A 19,667-nucleotide genomic window follows, 5' to 3' on the forward strand; every position below is an offset into this window, starting at 1 on the left:
CAGCCTGGGCGACAGAGAGAGACATCATCTCAAAAAAAAAAAAAAAAAAAAAAGTAGCAGGATATGCCCCGGCTGCCTGCTACTCTGTACAAATGATAACCAAAGGCACATTTCATCAAGGGGCTATTGAGAAACACCTGGTTTACAAGGTTTTGAAAAGTTTTGAAATAACCATCACTTGAGCTTCATTCAGCAGTTGGAGAATCAACCCAAAGATAGAAAGGTGATATTTGATGTCCTGTGACTACTGCATTTATTTCAGTAATATCAATATTGGCAGCAGGATGGGCCTAAATTGGGTGGGGAGGGTGTTTGCTTCTTAATTAAAGGCCCTTCCTCACCTCATATCTATTCTCATTAGTCAGTAACTGGAGACAGCCATCTATGAAAGATTTTGTTTTTCAACGGTGTTTTATTTTATTTTCCTAAAATGTCAGTTGGATGGCCAAGGAAATTTTTCCCCCAAGAGTCCTTGGAGATTATTTTGAGCCGAAATAGCCACCATCACGGTTGGCTGAGCACTAAATGAAAAATAGTGTTAGATGTCAAATTAATATTTTAGGACCGAAAATGTACAAACCCTCCCTGGCATGTCAGCCAGCGTCATAGCAAGTGTTAGCTACAAAACTGCAGGGTGACGACTGGAAGGCTGGAGCCACAAGTGGCCATCAGTTCAAGAGCTGAAATCCAAGAGCAGGAGAGAGAATTACAGGGAGTAGGTCTCTATTCATCAAATTTGGCAGACTAGAGGGGCAAGAAAAGACAAGAGTGATGACGTTTTTAAATGGATTCATTTTGTGAGATGACTGCTGGGTGAAAAGCAGTGGATTAGGGCTTTGTCAAAACCACAGCTGAAGCCTTAAGAGAAAAATATGATACTGTAGAAAATGACAATGGAAAATATAGCAATGTGACAAAAGCAGGCTACAAACCAAATGTACAACATTGTCCAATTTTTGAAAAATACCATGAGAGGGGGAGCACACACAAGTGAGTGCAAGAAGCCTGGTTTTGCCACAGAATGTTCTAGAATGTTTTCTTAAAAAATACAGATCCTTTGGCCCCACCCCTAGAGGTTCTAATTTATTAGATCTGGTTTGGGTCTCAGGTACATGGGTTTCTTTTTTTTATACTTTAAGTTGTAGGGTACATGTGCACAATATGCAGGTTTGTTACACATGTATACATGTGCTATGTTGGTGTGCTGTACCCATTAACTCGTCATTTAGATTAGGTATATCTCCTAATGCTATCCCTCCCCCTCCCCCCTCCCCCCACCCCATGACAGGCTCCAGTGTGTGATGTTCCCCACCCTGTGTCCAAATGTTCTCATTGTTCAATTCCCACCTATGAGTGAGAACGTGCGGTGTTTGGTTTTCTGTCCGTGCAATATTTTGCTCAGAATGATGGTTTCCAGCTTCATCCATGTCCCTACAAAGGACATGAACTCATCCTTTTTATGGCTACATAGTATTCCATGGTGTATATGTGCCACATTTCTTTATCCAGTCTATCATTGATGGACATTTGGGTTGGTTCCAAGTCTTTGCTATTGTGAATCGTGCCACAATAAACATACGTGTACATGTGTCTTTATAGCAGCATGATCTATAATCCTTTGGGTAAGGTATACGGGTTTTTAAAAGCTTTTTAGGTGGTTCTCTCTGATATAGAGCAATAAAGAGAGGGTTGGGGGGAGGAGAAAAAAGATCAGAGATAGCTTTATGGGGCATTCCATTTTTTTTTTCTTTTCTCTTTTTTTTTTTTTTTGAGATGGAGTCTTGGTCTGTCGCTCAGACTGGAAGCTCAGTGGCACAATCTTGGCTCACCACAACCTCCACCTCCCGAGCAAGCAGTTCTCCTGCCTCAGCCTCCCAGGTAGGTGGGATCACAAGCATGTGCCACTATGCCCAGCTAATTTTTAAAAAATTTTAATTATTATTATTTTTTTAGTAGCGACAGGGTTTCACCAGGTTGACCAGGCTGGTCTTGAACTCCTGACCTCAGGTGATCCACCCACCTTGGACTCCCAGAGGGTTGGGATTAGAGGTATGGGCCACCGTACCCAGCCTCATGGGGCATTTATGATTTAAATGTTTTGCCAGTGGATTTTCTATATTTACATATTGCTCCATGAATATGCATTGTGTTTACTCTCAGAAAAGGTTATTAGTACAAATTCTAACTCAACTTCTTAGGAGAAATAGCCTCTGGCCACAATAATAATAATGATTAATGCTTACAAAGTGCTTCCTGAATGCCAGACACGGTTTTATTAATGCTGCCATTTAGTCTTGAAAATAACTCTGATGTAGGCACCAGTGTTGCAGCCATTTTATAGATGAGAAAATCAGAGGCCAGAGATTCTAGCTCAGACAACTAGAAAAAGACACAGTATGAGCATAGATAGGGACTGTTACTGGGAGCCTGAGGCTTCACTCCCACATTCTATTTCATCCTAGTGAACAGGATGCTTCGGACAGGAAGAAGTCTGTGGTTCAGACACCCACCTGAGGCACTGAGGGCTCCCCTCAGATCACATCATCCCATGCACTCTGGCTCCTGGGCCTCAAGGTGCCTGCTTTGAGCTTCCCTGGGAAGTCATGGGAAGTTTCTCCCTGCCTTCCCATCAGTGTCCTGTTCCTTCCAGAGACTTCCCAGAGTTTGCTACTTGCCTGACAGGAAGAATTCTATCGCCAGGCAAGCTAAACAGAGGGAGAAAGTATGAAGAAATTGAACACCCCAGGACACTGGCTGGCTATTAAGGCATGCCATCACCAATCCTTTGAAAAAATTCTTAATTGGTTTTTTAATTGAAGTGGAGAATGAACTTCTGTGAAGTACCCCATACCATTGTACATGAGGATACAGATATGAAATCTACAGGGGTTTTGACTGGAGAGAGGACAGAGCATTCATTGAGATTATTTCCCCATTTTGCAGATGGCGGTGCCAAGTCATTAAGTAATGTCCTAAAAGAGAAAAGAATGAGTTGATGCCCCTCCCAGAACCAAAGGTCTTCACTAGTACAAAAATGTTGGGAGCCAGCCCCCCAAAACCTGGCCATAAACTGGCCCCAAGACTTGCCATAAACAAAATCTCTGCAGCACCATAACATGTTCATAATGGCTCTAATGGGCAAGCTGGATGGTTGTGGGTTTAGGGGAATGAAGGCAAGGAACACCTGGCCCGCCCAGGGCGGAAAACTGCTTAAAGGCATTCTTAAGCCACAGACAATAGCATGAGCATCTGTGTCTTAAGGGCGTGTTCCTGCTGCAGTTAACTAGCCCAACCTATTCCTTTAATTCGGCCCATCCCTTCACTTCCCATAAGGGATACTTTTAGTTAATTTAATATCTATAGAAACAATGCCAGTGACTGGTTTGCTGTTAATAAATATGTGGGTAAATCTCTGTTCAGGGCTGTCAGCTCTGAAGACTGTGAGACCCCTGATTTCCCACTTCACACCTCTATATTTCTGTGTGTGTGTCTTTAATTCCTCTAGTGCCACTGGGTTAGGGTCTCCCTGACAAGGCTGGTCTTGGCACAAAGTATTCTGTGGATTTTAAAGATTTTACAAAATCAGTAGGTATTTTAATTCATTCTCTTTCATGGTAAGGTTGCCAGATAAAACACAGCATGCCCTGTTAAATTTGAATTTTGAATAACAAATAATTTTTTGTAAAGTATGTCCCAAATATTACATAAAACATATATATATATGTTGTTGTTTTGTTTTGTTTATTTTATTTTGTTTTTTTGAGACGGAGTCTCACTCTGTCGCCCAGGCTGGAGTGCAGTGGCACGATCTCGGCTCACTGCAAGCTCTGCCTCCCGGGATCACACCATTCTCCTGCCTCAGCCTCCCAAGTAGCTGGGACTACAGGTGCCTGCTACCATGCCCAGCTAATATTTTGTATTTTTAGTAGAGACGGGGTTTCACTGCGTTAGCCAAGATGGTCTTGATCTCCTGACCTCGTGATCCACCTGCCTCGGCCTCCCAAAGTGCTGGGATTACAAGCGTGAGCCACTGCACCCAGCCAAAACATATTTATATTTTAAAATTATTTGTTGTTTATCTGAAATTCAAATTTATCTGGGAGTCCTGTATTTTTATTTGCTTAATATGGCAGCCCTATTTCATGGGAAACATGATTTATTTTCTCCTTGGAGATTGCTTTTTTTCCTCAGTGTCACTAGCTCAATGATTTGAAGAAGCATAAACCAGAAAATTAATCCCAGCCCATCCTTTTGTGCCAGACACCCACAGGGTCAGTTCTTTTGGTAGTCAGTGAGTATTACATATTGCAAAAGCACACATGCATGCACACTCACCCACACACCTTCAAGCACACATGCACACACTTTCACATCAATGTTCTTACACTCATACATACAGATACAAATGGATTCTGTTTCTCCTAATATCCTAAAATAAAAATCCCTCACTCCATTCAGATTTTCATGGCTTTCCAAACACATCATTCTCCTTTTTGGTCAGTGTCTGTCTGTTCAAGGAGAAAGTCATATCCCCAGCTTGCTTTGTGTGCTCAGCTACACTGACTCAGCTTCCCACAGAGTAGGCTGGCACTGAGACTTTATCTCTTGTATTTCAGAAAATTTGAATTCTCTTTTCTTGCCATTGCATAAAACTGCCTGTTTTAGTATAAAGGGATGAAAGTTGTCTTAGGATCAGATAATGAATGCAACTTACTAACAAGAAAAAGTACAGAACTGAGAATTGAAAACTCAAGCCATATAATGAAAACATTTGAAAATGAGAGAGAAGAAAAAATTTTTGTGTATTCACAGGAAGCAGTATAGCACAGTGGTTAAATCATCACTCCCATAGCCAGGCTCCTTGAGTTACTAGATGGCCAAATTATTTACCCTAATCCGTAAAGTGGAAATAATAACACCTGCCTCCTAAGGTTGTTGTGGTAATTAAGTAAATATATAGAAGATGTATGAAATTGTATCTGACACATAGTGTTTGCTTTTATAATGATCTTCGATTTGCCAGGCACAGCAGTAGCTTCTTCATGTGTATCCTCCCGTATAATTGTCGAAATAAGCCTTGAGATGTGTGGACATGAGGAAACTGAGGCTCCAAGAGGTTGACTTGCCCAAGGCTACACAGGTGGCATGCAGCAAAGCCAAGATTCAAGTATCAATCTCAGGACACAGCCACCCATCTCTCAATTACCCAGTATTAAGGCGACAAAAGGTGGAAGGTTGATGGTTCTTTAGAGAAGTGACAGCATTCCGTCTACAATTGTTGCTTTTGTGGGATGGTGGTGCATCTGGAGATGTTTGCAGTGGTGCTTTTGGGGGAGGACAGGACCCTTTGTTTTGGTTACAGACCTGACCCAAGTGTCTGCCAACCAGATGAGGACCTTACTTTCTTGTGACTTCTCCAAGCAAATCCCCAGGAAACGGGAAGCCCTGATCCCAGACTCTGCCTGGCTTTCCATCATTAAGGCAGTATAAGGCAGGGTCCGTCGGCATGCGGTGGGGGGACAGTGGTGCCAGCAGGAGCCCCAGGACTCTATCCTCAACTCTGTTCTCTATTTGCACGCTTACCATAGATCATTTCATTCAGTCCCTTTGTACCATTTATAGGCTAATGATTCCCTAATTCATGTCTCTAGCCTAGACCTCTCCCCTGAACTCAGACTCACAACTGCCTACTCAGCATCTCCACTAGGATATATAATAAACATCTCAGAGTTTACAAATCTAAAACTAGATTTTATTTAAAAAAGCAAAAACCTGCTTCACTTCCAGTGTCCCTGGGTCAATCTATGGCAATTCCATTCTTCCAATAGGGCAGTCCTAAAGACTTGAGATCACTCCTCACTTCTCTCTTTTTATGGCTTGACTATCCAATCTGTCAGCTCATCCCATTGGTTCCACCATCAAAATGCCTCCTGAGCCAGACTACCTTCCATCATCTCCACATCTACCATTTTGGACCATTGCAATAGACTCCTGGTCTCCCTGCTTCCAACCTTGCCTCCTGCCATGGTCTATTCTTCATACTGCAAAGTATTCCTGTTAAGACATAACTCAGGTTACATCACTGTTTTGCTCAAACTTCTCCAAAGCCTCCCATTTCAGAGGAAAGTCAAGATCTTCCATGACTTGAAAAGCCCTCCATGGTCTTAGCCTGCCCCAGCTCTCTCCAACCTCACTTCCCGTCACTATAACCAGCCCCACCTGCACCAGCTGCTAGGCCTCCATGCCAGTCCTTGCATAAACCAAGCACACTCCTGCATTGGGCCTTTGCACTTGCTCTTCTTCCCATGGGACATACTCCATCCACCACAAAGTCCTCATGCCTCACAACCCAATGTCCTTCAACCCCTGCTCAAATCTCACCCTAACAGAGAGGATTACCGCATCTACCTGCATAAAACAGCCACATGCCATCCTCATCTGAGCATTCCCTCTCCCCTAAACTGTCTTATATATTTTTTTCACAGCATTCATCCTTTATCAGCACCTGATGGGATCCATTCATTTATTCACTTATTGCCTCCATCCTCTGGAAGGGACCATCTATGTGGATAGAGATTTTGTCTGTTTTATTGACTGCTATATCCTCAGTGACTGGAAGGATGTGTACACACAGTAGGTGCTCAATAAGTACTGAGTGAATGGAAAGAGCCTTCTAGATAGTCTCGTGCCAGCTGAACAGACTGCTTCAGCTTCCCTAGCACACAATCAGGCTTTCAGAAGACTCCGTCCTGTACTCCTTTCCATCTAAGGAGTCACAGCTCTAGGATGATACTACATACAGTTTCTTTCTTCCTTTCTCCCTTTCTCTCTTTCTCCCTTTCTCTCTCTCTCTCTCTCTCTCTCTCTCTCTCTCTCTCTCTCTGTCTTGCTCTGTTGCCCAAGCTGGAGTGCATGATCATAGGTCACTATAACTTTGAACTTTTGGCTTCAAGTGATCCTCCCACCTCAGCCTCCCAAAGCACTGGGATTACAGACATGATCCATCATGCCCAGTCACACAGATCTTTTCTGATGGCTTGCTTTTGTGTTTTGTATCTCTGCTCTGTTTGATTTGGCAGAAAAGGCTCCTGCGCAAAGCCACGTGCAAGTCTCCCTGTATGTCTTGGCTGCTCCTGTGCTCCTGATGGAAATGTGTCGGGGGACATTATTCTAAAGGATCCAAATCAAGCCGCAAATGATGAAAACCTCATTGCTCAAGTAGAGAGGAAAACAAATCCATCCATCCTGACTCCCACTGCCATGGAAACCCCAAATGAGTTCAAAAGGCCAGTACAGGCAATGCTTGCAGCTTTTCTTATGCTCTCTTGTCATTTCAGGGGATTGTGTTTGCAGGCACATGCTGAGAAGAGGAGGCCTTTTGAATGGAATGCACCAAGGAGGAAGCTTTCCAAAACCCAGGCTAATCATCTGTAGCAGCATCAACATAATTATTATTATGTGAGGAGTTTGTAGCCAAACACTTCGGTACATCTATTAGGGACCCTCAAACCACACCAAGTGCTCAGCCTCTCTGCAGAAATTCACTCACCCCTTAATCAAGCAACGCTATTAGAGGAAAGCTTTGCTGATTCAGCTGGGAGGCATCAGGCAATCCTCTGGCTTCTGCAGCATCTCCTAACAAAGTGTTGCTTCTGGAACCCTAGAATGAACATTGAACATTCATTGCAAGTGTCAAATACTAGGACCTGTGATATCTCTGTACCCATTCCTAAAAAGACCCAGGTATATCCAATCAAAAGATCCAGGTAGGCTGGGTGCCATTGGCTCACGCCTGTAATCCCAACACTTTGGAAGGCTGAAGTGGGCAGATCACCTGAGGTCAGGAGTTTGAGACCAGCCTGACCAACATAGTGAAACCCTGTCTGTAATAAAAAAAAATAATAATAATACAAAAATTAGCCAGGCGTGGTGGTGAGCACCTGTAATCCCTACTTGGGAGGCTGAGGCAGGAGAATCGCTTGAATCGCTTGAACCCAGGAGGCAGAGGTTGCAGTGAGCTGAGATTGCGCCACTGCACTCCAGCCTGGGTGACAAGAGTGAAACTCCATCTCAAAAAAAGAAAAGGAAAGAAAAAAAGATCCAGGCATAGCAAAGGATAAATGAATATTATCCTCCAGAATTATTATTAGCAAAACTGTCACTAGGCCAGAGTGTCTATTAATGGGTCCCAGGTTCAAGAATGCATGTTCCATCCACATAAAGACAGTGCCCCAGTGGAGGTGCTTAACTCTGTGGTTTTTGATACTCAGATCAGCAATGGCACCTGAGTATTCCTGAACATTCAGCCAGCAGAAATTTCTAGCTCATCTTTTAAGTATATATAATATGTTGGCCAGGCACGGTGGCTCACGCCTGTAATCCCAGCACTTTGGGAGGCTGAGGCGGTGGATCGCGAGGTCAGGAGATTGAGACCATCCTGGCTAACATGGTAAAACCCCGTCTCTACTAAAAATATAAAAAATTAGCTGGGCATGGTGGTGGGCACCTGTAGTCCCAGCTACTCGGGAGGCTGAGACAGGAGAATGGCGTGAATCCGGAAGTCGGAGGTTGCAATGAGCCGAGATTGCACCACTGCACTCTAGCCTGGGTGACAGAGCGAGACTCCATCTCAAAAAAAAAAAAAAAAAAAAAAAAAAAGAAAGTATATATAATATGTCTGTGTACATCATATTTTATTTTATCTGTCATCCATTTTTAAGACAGACCATTATTTTGTGTAAAATTAAGAAAGAAAATGATTTTGTCAATTAAATTAGAATGAGTCATTGATTGTAAGATGCGTCCTGATCAGAGACTTAAATTGTAAAAACATAAAGCAATTGTTAAAGGTCAACATTCAGCAGGACACAATGAAATCACGTTCATGATATCTGTGTTTTTTATTCGCTTACCCCCATCTTTCATCTCATGCTGGTAGTTGACAGAACTAGAGAGAACATCAAATGTTACCAAACAGAACACATCAAACTCAGGGAGTTTGGCACATCAAACTCGGGGAGAAGAGCATTAACAGTTTTCCAAATTTATGCATTGACAACGAGCATTTTAAGGCTCCAAAATGCAGTTGATTGCTAAAGAGTAACTACAAGAGGCTTAGACCATTTACAGGATGGAATTAGAATGGCATAATTCAGCAGAGGGGATAGACCTCTTAGCAGGAGAGACAAGAGAAAGTATAAACCTACAAAAAGACACCTTCTGGGGAAGCACTCACATGTTTGAGCATGCTGTCTGGTTAGAGTAGGCCCAAACTCAAAACTTTTATTTCTAACCTGTGACCCCAGACATCTACACACCCAATCTGAGTCAAACAGAAGGAATTGTTCTTTTCTATTTCAAAACTTCATGGAGACCAGGCATGGTGGCTTACACCTGTAATTCCAGTACTTTGGGAGGCCGAGGCAGGTGGATCACTTGAGGTCAGGGGTTCGAGACCAGCCTGCCCAACAAGGTGAAACCCCGTCTCTACTAAAAAAAAAATACAAAAATTAGCTGAGTGTGGTGGTGCACACCTGTAATCCCAGCTTCTTGGGAGGCTGAGGCAGGAGAATCACTTGAACCTGGGAGGCGAAGGTTGCGGTGAGCCAAAATCATGCCACTGCAATCCAGCGTGGGTGACAGAAAACAACAAACAACAACAAAAACATCATGTCTCAAAAAACAACAACAAAAAAAAACTTCATGGGGGGGGAAAAGCTTTAAGCACCTAGCATCCATTCTGTAGCAAAAGCTAATAATATTCATGCACTGGAAACTTGTATTAATGAGGGTTCTCCAGAGAAAAGAACCAGTAGGATATATATACAGATATATTGAAAGAGACGTATTTTGAGGGATCGGCTCCCCAGTTCTCAGGGCTTTCAGATGCAGACTGGGACTTACACCATCGGCCTCCCCAGTTCTCAGGGCTTTGGGTTTGAACTAGAACTATACCACCAGCTTTTCTCGTTCTCCAGATTGTAGATGGCAGATTGTGGGGCTTCTCAGCCTCCACAGTTGCATGAGCTTGTTTGAATGAGAAAGCAATTGCTTGAAGCAACAGCAGACAATACAAAATTCACATTTTATATTGAATCAGGAAGAGGAAGCAAAAGTATAAAATGATGAATCTCCCCTGTTCCCCAGTTCTGCTCGGGCTTTGCCCACTCTTTCCTGCCTGCATGTGGATATTTAGAAAGTGCACAGAGGCACTGGCGTTCCAAACAGTCACCCACCGACTCGGCTTCTTGCACTCTGTTTGTAACTCATTCAGAAACTGCAAAATAGAGTGAAGAAGAAAAAGCAGGTGATTTTCCCTGCCTTCTTTTACCAAAGAGGGGGCATGCTGTGGCCTTATTTCTGCATCATCTTGAGCTGATAGAGTGTTCCTCAGTCATCCCCAAACCACAGCTGGGCTGCTCTTCCCTCCTGTACCCCTGCTGAAAGTTTCGGTCTCTCCATTTTCCTTAAGCTACTGCAAATCTTGTCACCATAAGGGCCAGACACTTTGCCCTGGCATGTGGAAAGACACAGGGCTTGATGGCACTTGCAAAGGGGACTGTACTAGTCTCCATTTGTCCCCCATGCCTGCCACCATCCTTTGCCCTCCTCTACCTGCCTGGGGGCCCCCAAACGACTGATCTCTAGGGCTGAATCACCCAAGCCCCTCTGTCCTCAGGTTAGACCTGGGGGAAGGAGGGACAGGAAGTGGTTGGAAAGCTGGTGGAAGCACGGAATTAGTAGGGCATTACACAGATCAAGGTTCTTAGTTGCAGACAATAGAATTCATTCACCATGGCTAGTTTAAGCAGAAAGAAATACATGAAAAACTTCATTTACTCCGATGTGATTATTATACATTATATGCCTGTATCAAAATATCCTATGTACCCCATAAGTACATACACCTACTATGTACCCATAAAAACTAAAAATTTAAAAAAGAGAAATACATAGAAAGAACTAAAGAGCTTATAGAATCTTTCAGAGGACCAGAGAACCAGGCTTGAACACTACTCAGCCAGAAACAATGCAGCCAGAAAAAAACGTCCTCTGATGGCATGCAACTGTTTCCATGCACACCCCAGCAGAACCAAGTGCTTCCACCACTAAGCTTAGCAGAGAATCTGTTCTCTCTCTGGGCTCAGCCACCACCTTGCTGCTGTGCCTCACACGTTGGCAGAAACTGTCGTGAATATCAATCTAGCTGCAAGGGAGTCTAAGAATGTAGTTTTTTGCTTTCCTGATCGAAAGTGATTCAAATACGTATTGAATGAGTCAACTTACAGTATCTGCCGCAATAATTTTAGGGCTCCTTTCCTGTGGCTTTATTAATATGATTTGTGCCAGAAAGACTGTGAGGTATGGCGAAAAGAATATGGGCCATGAAATCAGATAGAGGTGGTTCTTTCTTTTCCTTGAACACACCAAATTTGTTCCTATCTTAGGGTCACTGCATTTGTTCACCTTTTGCCTGAAACACTCTGCACCAGTATCTTCTCATGGGTCTTCAAGTTCCAGCGCAAATGTTACCTCCTCAGAGAGGCTGCCTTCCCTGGCCAGCCCATCTACAGCAACCCACCTCACCCTCACCTCCCATCATCTCACCTTTTAAATTTTCTTTTTAGGACTTCACTGCCATTTTCTTGCTTTTTGTCGTTTATGATCCAAGCTCCCCTCATCCCAAATAGAATATAAATTCCATAAGAGCAGGGACTTGCTCTGTCTTGTTCACAGCTGTGTCGCTGGAGCCCACAAAAGTGTCTGATACACGACAGTAATAGCATTGATTATATAATTACCATCTGCCACATATTGTTTAATCCTCATGCTACTCTTTATGAAATAATTACTGTTATCTTTGCCCTTGCAGAAGAGAAAATAGAAGCTGAGACAGGGTAATAATTATTTGTCTCAGGCCAGACAGCAAGTAAATCATGGATTCAAACCTAGGTAGTCTGGCTCCAGAGTCTAAACTCTTAACTGCTATAGCATGCTGAATATAGTAGATGTTCAATAAATACTTTGTGAGGCTGGGTGTGGTGGCTCACACCTGTAATCCCAGCACTTTGGGAGGCTGAGGTGGGAAGATAGCTTAAGGCTGGGAGTTTAAGAGCAGCCTGGGCAACATAGTGAGACCTCGCCTCTAAAAAATAAATAAAAATGTTGTGGCTAAGTGAATGGACACCTTGTAGTCATCTCACTGACACTGTGTTGCATTTAACACTGCTGGATTATCTATTTCTCCATCTCTCTCATGGGCTTCTCTTCCTGAAACCCCTTTCCCCCTTCCTTAAACACTAGCGTTCCCCAAACCTCCATCCTGTGTCAGCTGCTCTTCTTACTACCTGCTCTCTTGGGTGATATTATTCAGCATCATGATTGAACCATATTATATACTGATAAGTCCCAGCTCAACCATAAATCTCTAGCATCGACTCTCCCAGAGTGAGAGAATTAAATGTTCATGGCTTCCTGATACCACCCTTTTTATTTTTTTATTTTTTAATTTTTTTATTTTTTTTTTTGAGATAGAGCCTCACTCTGTCGTCCAGGCTGGAGAGCAGTGGTGTGATCTCAGCTCACTGCAGCCTCCACCTCCCAGGTTTAAGCAACTCTCCTGCCTCAGCCAACTGAGTAGCTGGGATTACAGGCTTAATGCCACCATGCCCAGCTAATTTTTGTAATTTTAATAGAGATGGGGCTTCGCCATGTTGGCCAGGCTGGTCTCAAACTCCTGGCCTCAAATGATCCATCCACCTTGGCCTCCCAAAGTGCTGGGATTACAGGCGTGAGCCACCGTGCCTAGCCTGATATCACCTTTTGAGGATGCTTTGGGCATCCCAAACTCAACAAACACAAGTTAACTTAATTTGCTGTAGGTACAGTCAGGTTAATCCCAGCCAGGCTGTGAAAAGCATTCCATTTCATCTTCCCCCAAACAAAATCTGCTCCTTCTCCCCTATCCCCCACCTCAGCCAATATCACCACCATTTATCCAGCTTCCAAGGCCAAGAGCCTGGCAGGCATTTTGGAGTTTTCCTCCCTCGCCTCATTGCCCACCTGTGACTAAGTCCTGTGGATTCTACGTCTTAAGTAGTTCTCCAATCCATCCCTTCCTCTCTATTCCTGCTCCCAGCGGGACTATTGAATGTATTCTGAAGATCATATATTACAGTTGTGTTGCAGGAAAGGGGTCCCGATCCAGACCTCAAGAGAGAGTTCTTGGATCTCACGCAAGAAAGAATTTAGGGTGAGTCTGCACTGCAAAGCAAAAGCCAGTTTATTAAGAAAGTAAAATGGTGAGAAGACAGCTACTCCTTAGACAGAGTAGGATGTTGCCGAAAGTAAGAGGAGGAACACATTCACCCTAGGGACAATGCTTGTATATATAGGGGGATGTGCTCTGCTACAAGGGTTTGTGATAAAGAATTAATTTTCTTCATTACTATGTTTTGCAAGAATTGATATTATTATCTTTAAAGCAAAATTAGGAATGCCTTTGTGCTCCAGATATTGGGATATCTGCACACTCCCAAGTCTGGGCCTGTTTAGCAAACATTATTAATTTGTTGCCCGAACCATAAACCTCTAGAGGCCAGGAATGCCTAACTTCTGAGAATGCAGCCTAGCCAGTCTCAGCCTCATTTTCCTAGCCCTCACTCAAAATGGGGTTGCTGTGGTTCGAATGCCTCTTACAGTAGCATCCTAACTTCTCTACCTGTCTCTGGTCTTGCTCCCTTCTATGTGTTTCCCGAATACCCCAGCATGACCTAACTGCAGTAGAAATCTGCTTGCTCGACTCTAGCCTCCCCAGTGGCTCTGCCATTCATTGCCTTCAGGACAAACTTCCAGCCTGTTAAAAATCAACCTTGATGCAGTCCCTGCCCACGCCTCCAAATGTGGCATCAAGCCTCCCTCCCCCGACCTTTACCATCACCCTATGCTTCAGAAATAGCCAGGTCACCGCATTTCCCCAGCAAAACTCACATAGAGTCATGCTTTTCTCCTTATAAAACAGTGATCAGGGAAAGCCAGTCAACTTGAGAGGAGAGGGATGGACATCATTAGAGCTTTTCAGTCCCCTATTTTAGTTTCTCCTTGAGGCCCAGCTGCAGTCCTGCCATTTTATTTCACCAGACACTCCAAGAGCTTTATAATTCAGACTCTTCATTTGCTTCTGCGAGCTCTCATTGAAGTCTGTTATTTGCAACCAAAAGAGTTCCAACAAATGCACTGATGAACTGAAAGAAAAGGCGTCTATTTACATGAAATGATTTGCATGAGAGGAAAGAAGGAGCCACTTCCCAGGAAGAGAGAGATGGGACTGGGGAGGATGGTCGCGCCAGCCCCAGGGATTCGTATCTGAGCACGGTGGCAAGAGAAGCTGCAAACAGAAGACAAAGCCTGTTTTACAAAGGCTCCCTCTTGAAGCACACAGTTTGTGTGCCCAAGGGACAAAGTGCCACACAGAGCAGGGCCTTCTTGATGCAGTGCAGCTTTGGCACATTTAGGGTTCCCAGTAACAAGAAACTGCTCTGGCATCTCCAGGGCTGGCTGTCCAGGGATCACTGGAAGTTGGCATTCTTGGGACAGTCTTAGGGTTATCCCAGGGGGCACCAGCAGTTTGGGTGGTGGAAATGCACATTCTCAAATGGCTAGCTGGGCAAAGGATATCTGTGGGTCAGAGCACAGGAAGAAGGCATCACATTACCCAGTAACTGTAGAGGATACACTTGTTTGCAATATACCCTCTGAGAACTTCCAGAAATAACTGAGTGAGACTTGAGTGGGGTACTTGAGGCACCCAAACCTGAAGACGTTAGATAAATTCAGCAAAATATGGGTTATCACCATTAATGTGCCCCCCTTTCAACCCACAGGCCAGGGGAACCTGAGGAAATCAGGTTCATGGCATTAGGCTCACTTTAAAAAATGAAAAAGAGAAAGAATAAAATAACCTACTAAACTATAAATGGAATTACATGCGGGGCTTTTATTCTTCCTTCAAAGTCTTCTCTATAGCTCTCAAGATATTTATGAAATGTCATCTGCTAAAAGAAGTAGTTTATAATTTAGCTTGTTAAGATTTTTCTTTTAATTCAGCAAAGTAGAATGGGATGAACTTATATTCCAGGGCCACAGGTCTGAAAGTCATAAAATTATGAAATTATAAAGTCAGCCAGGTGCAGTGGCTCATGCCTGTAATCCCAACGCATTGAGACACTGAGGCAGGAGGGTCGCTTCAGGCTAGGAGTTCTAGGCCAGCCTAGGCAACATAGTGGGATCTCATCTCTACAGAAAATTTTAAAAAACCGGCCAGACTTGGTGGCACGGGCCTGTGCTCCTAAGTGCCAGCCACTCAGGAGGCTGAGGTAGGAGGATCACTTGAGCCCAGGAGTTCAAGGTTACAGTGAGCAATGATCACACCACTGCACTCCAGACTAGTCAACAGAGCAAGAACCTAACTCTAAAAAAATAAAAAAAGAAAAAAGAAAAAAATCACGGGGTCTCTGGTTAATCAAAGAGCTCTTGCACATTTTCCTTTATCTCATTTTGGAAAGAAGCAGACAGGCATTTTTGTAAGCTTAGTTTTAGTCCCACATTTTATATTATATTGCTTGACCCAATGGTGAAATGGCACATTTTGCACAGGCTGGTTGGGATTAACCCAACTGAACATACAGTAAATCAATTCACCCATGGAATGGATGTCAACAGAGCCTTAAAGAGAAACTTTATCTCTACAGAAAACTTTGAACTAAATTCAACTTGACACTTACATATCCTTCATGCTCTTCAAGTGCTTTTTTATTCTTATTAGTAATGAGATAATGAGTTTTTCATTTGAGCTGATTCATTATAAAAATCTTCTTTTAGGCCGGGTGCAGTGGCTCATACCCGTAATCCCAGCACTTTGGGAGGCCGAGGCAGGCAGATCACGAGGTCAGGAGATCAGGACCACGGTGAAACCCCGTCTCTACTAAAAATACAAAAATTAGCCAGGCGTGGTGGTGGGCGCCTGTAGTCCCAGCTACTCGGGAGGCTGAGGCAGGAGAATGGCGTGAACCCGGGAGGCGGAGCTTGCAGTGAGCCGAGATAGCGCCACTGCACTCCAGCCTGGGCGACAGAGCGAGACTCCGTCTCAAAAAAAAATATATATATATTCTTTTAAAACATCTTAACTATGTTTATTCTTTGAGACGGAGTTTCACTCTTGTTGCCCAGGCTGGAGTGCAATGGCGCAATCTCGGCTAACCGCAACCCCCACCTCTTGGGTACAAGTGATTCTCTGCCTCAGCCTCCCAAGTAGCTGGGATTACAGACATGCACCACCACGCCCAGCTTATTTTGTATTTTTAGTAGAGATGGAATTTCTCCATGTTGGTCAGGCTGGTCTTGAACTCCTGACCTCAGGTGATCCGCCCGCCTCAGCCTCCCAAATTGCTGGGATTACAGGCGTGAGCCACAGTGACCGGCCAACTATGTTTATTCTTGTAACAGCCTGGAGACATGAAATGCAGGACCATTAGTTCACTGGAAGATTAAAAACTTGGGGAATTATGTTTTTCAAACATAAACTTTCAAGTAAATGAAATCCAGGAATTAAACTTGCTATGTGATAGGAATTGTCCACAGCAATTCACAAAACCTTATGAGAAAGACACTGTTGTTATCCCTAGGTCATAGACGAAGAAACAGAAGCTTGGAGAGCTTATGTAACTGACTTGCCAAAGACCCCACAGCTTGTGAGTGTTAGGGCAGGGATTTAAGGCAACCTGACTACAGAGCCCACATGTACTGATCAGGATACTCTGCAACCTCCCAGCTTCTCCTACCTCCTTTCTTGAGCTAGCGTGTGTGTCTTTGGGCTGTTTTGTTACCAACTCTGACTCCATCTATACGTGATCTTATCTTACCTAGCCCCTAAGAAAGTCTAACTGGCAGCCAAGTGCGGTGGCTCATGCCTGAAATGCCAGCATTTTGGGAGGCCAAGGCAGGAGGATTGCTTGAGCCTAGGCGTTCAAAACGAGCCTGGGTAACATAGCAAGACCCCGTCTCTATTTTTTTAAAAAAGAAAGTCTAACTGGTTTAGCTTGGATTATGGTCCACATTTAAATGGTGAGGACATGGGCTGGAGAGTCCCTTAAATGCACCCACTACATCTTGTTGAATTCTCTGCACTCAAGACTGGAACAACCACCACAGGCAATAATATAGCAAGAGGAGAGTGGCAGGAAAACTAACCAGTGTTGATTACCTAGTAGGTACCAAACACTATGCGAAGTGTTTTAAATGCATTACCTCATTTATCTTTATAACAACACAAGGGCTAAAGGAGACCAAAGACTACCAAAAGGTCAATCAAAACCATTTCTAAGGTTAAAGAATAAAGATAATGCAAGACATTAGAAAGCCCCAACAGCATAAGAGGAATGAGGATAAGAAAAATGGCACTAAGGAAGAGCCTTGAAAAAGGAGACTTAATTTTTTTTCTTAATTTATATTTTGAATAAATATTACAGTAATGGGGCTGGGCGCGGTGGCTCATGCCTGTAAGCCCAGCACTTTGGGAGGCCGAGGTGGGTGGATCACGAGGTCAGGAGATCGAGACCATCCTGGCTAACACGGTGAAACCCTGTCTCTACTAAAAATACAAAAAATTAGCTGGGCGTGGTGGCATGTGCCTGTAATTCCAGCTGAGGCAGGAGAATGGCGTGAACCCAGGAGGCGGAGCTTGCAGTGAGCCAAGATTGTGCCAGTGCACTCCAGCCTGGGCGACAGAGCAAGATTCTGTCTCAAAAAAAAAAAATAAAAATAAAAATAAAAAAATAAAAAAATAATATATATATATATAACAACAATGGTACAAAATTCAAAAGATATATAAGAGAGTTTTTTGTTATTTCCTTGTTTTATATAGTCAAAACAGTTTATTGATTGGGACCATAAACTTTTCTTTTCATAAAAGTTTCATAATGGACATTTGTCATTTGTGTCTGCCTCAAATCTTTTTTTGGTAGTTCTTCTATGTTGTGAATTCTCTTTTCCATAGGAAGAAAAAAAACAAACATGCCGGGTGCGGTGGCTCACGCCTGTAATCCTAGCACTTTAAGAGGCCGAGGCAGGTGGATCACTTGAGGTCAGGAGTTCGAGACCAGCCTGGTCAACATGGCAAAAACCCCGTCTCTACTAAAAATACAAAAATTAGCTCAGCATGGTGACATGCGCCTGTAGTCCCAGCTACTCAGGAGACTGAGGCAGGAGAATCGCTTGAACCTGGGAGGCGGAGGTGGCAGTGAGCCGAGATCGTGCCACTGCACTTCAGCCTGGGAGATAGAGTGAGACTCTGTCTCCAAAAAAAAAAAAAAAGAAAGAAAAGAAACAAACAAACACAACACATTTCTTTCAAGACCCTTTGCTGCTAGGATATAGACATTTGACTATCTTCCAACAAATCCAAACCTAAGCAACACTTGAAATATAGGTGACAGGCTGCAGACACACAATATTCTAGTAAGTCTGGACACAATGCTGCCTGGTTTTCTGCACGAACTGTAATGAGGGTCCTGGTGGTCAGTTCTGGTTTTATAGATGTTAAGCATCATCTGGCAGCAACAGCAGGATTTCTGCTAGAAGAGTCTTAGGATATTTGGGACATGTGTGGGATGCTTGGACATTCCTCCTGGCTGCTTCACTTCTGGCTGTGTAATATCCAGGCTTTGTTTCTCGGCTCTCCTAGAAATTCTAAGTAATACCATGTAATAAAGTTCTGCTGAAACTAGCTAGACTGGCTTGTTTTCCTGAAAGAGATTCCAAGGTATTGGGAATCTGGAATTGACTAGGTGACTTGGTTGGATTTGGAAGTAGTAAGGATAGGATACAGGAAAAACATGACATCTGGTGGCCAGGAAGTCACTAAAACCATTGTTAGAGAAGTTAGCATGACACTATTCCTGCCTCCATTTGTTTTTTATTTTTATTTTTTTAAGAGTGAGTCTTGCTCTGACACCCAGGCTGAAGTACAGTGGTGCGATCTGGGCTCACTGCAACCCCCCCCTCCTGGGTTCAAGCAATTCTCATGCCTCAGCCTCCTGAGTAGCTGGGATTACAGGAGTGTGCCACCATGCCCGGCTAATTTTTGTCTTTTTAGTAGAGATGGGTTTCACCATGTTGGACAGGGTGGTCTCAAACTCCTGACCTCAGGTGATGTGCCCGCCTCAGCCTCCCAAAGTGCTGGGATTACAGGTAAGAGCCACTGTGACCAGCCGCTGCCTCAGAGTAGATTGAAGCATCAACAGATTAAATCTCAGGATGCCAAAATTAGATTGAGACCAACCACCACACCCCCTCCCCCGCCACCTACCTCACCCCTGCCATGCAGGATTTAGAACAGGAGTGAAGGAGACCCTTTTCCACATCTCCTAGGGTTCTCGATGAAATCAAAGATACAAAAGGGGTCAGTGGGAAGATTTAGTAGAAGATGGTTGAGGAGATTGTTTTGAAGAGGGTTTTGCTCTGCTGTGAGCCCTCTCCCCTTAGGATGAGAGGCAGAGGCTCTGTCTCCCAACCATAAGCCTAGTGAGAAGGTTTTTAGTTGTCCACTGGGAGAGCTTTTAAACGTGTGCCTTGCAGTTGGAAGACACAGAAGACTGGGGCGGCCTGAC

General features: G+C 43.8%; 1 long non-coding RNA gene across 2 annotated transcripts in view; it reads right to left on the bottom strand.

Moving 5' to 3' along the window:
- LOC105369915 (uncharacterized) overlaps positions 1-19,667 on the bottom strand; it is a 31,167-nt gene that overhangs the window by 5,592 nt on the left and 5,908 nt on the right. Inside the window, exon 3 of one of the 2 annotated variants that reach the window (XR_945226.2) lies at positions 7,550-7,660. The exons of the other annotated variant lie outside the window; for it this stretch is intronic. This is a non-coding gene — a long non-coding RNA (uncharacterized LOC105369915). The remainder of the gene's footprint in view (positions 1-7,549; positions 7,661-19,667) is intronic. 2 annotated transcript variants of the gene reach the window in all.

Source organism: Homo sapiens, chromosome 12, assembly GCF_000001405.40.
Source record: "Homo sapiens chromosome 12, GRCh38.p14 Primary Assembly".
NCBI classification, from domain to species: domain Eukaryota; kingdom Metazoa; phylum Chordata; class Mammalia; order Primates; family Hominidae; genus Homo; species Homo sapiens.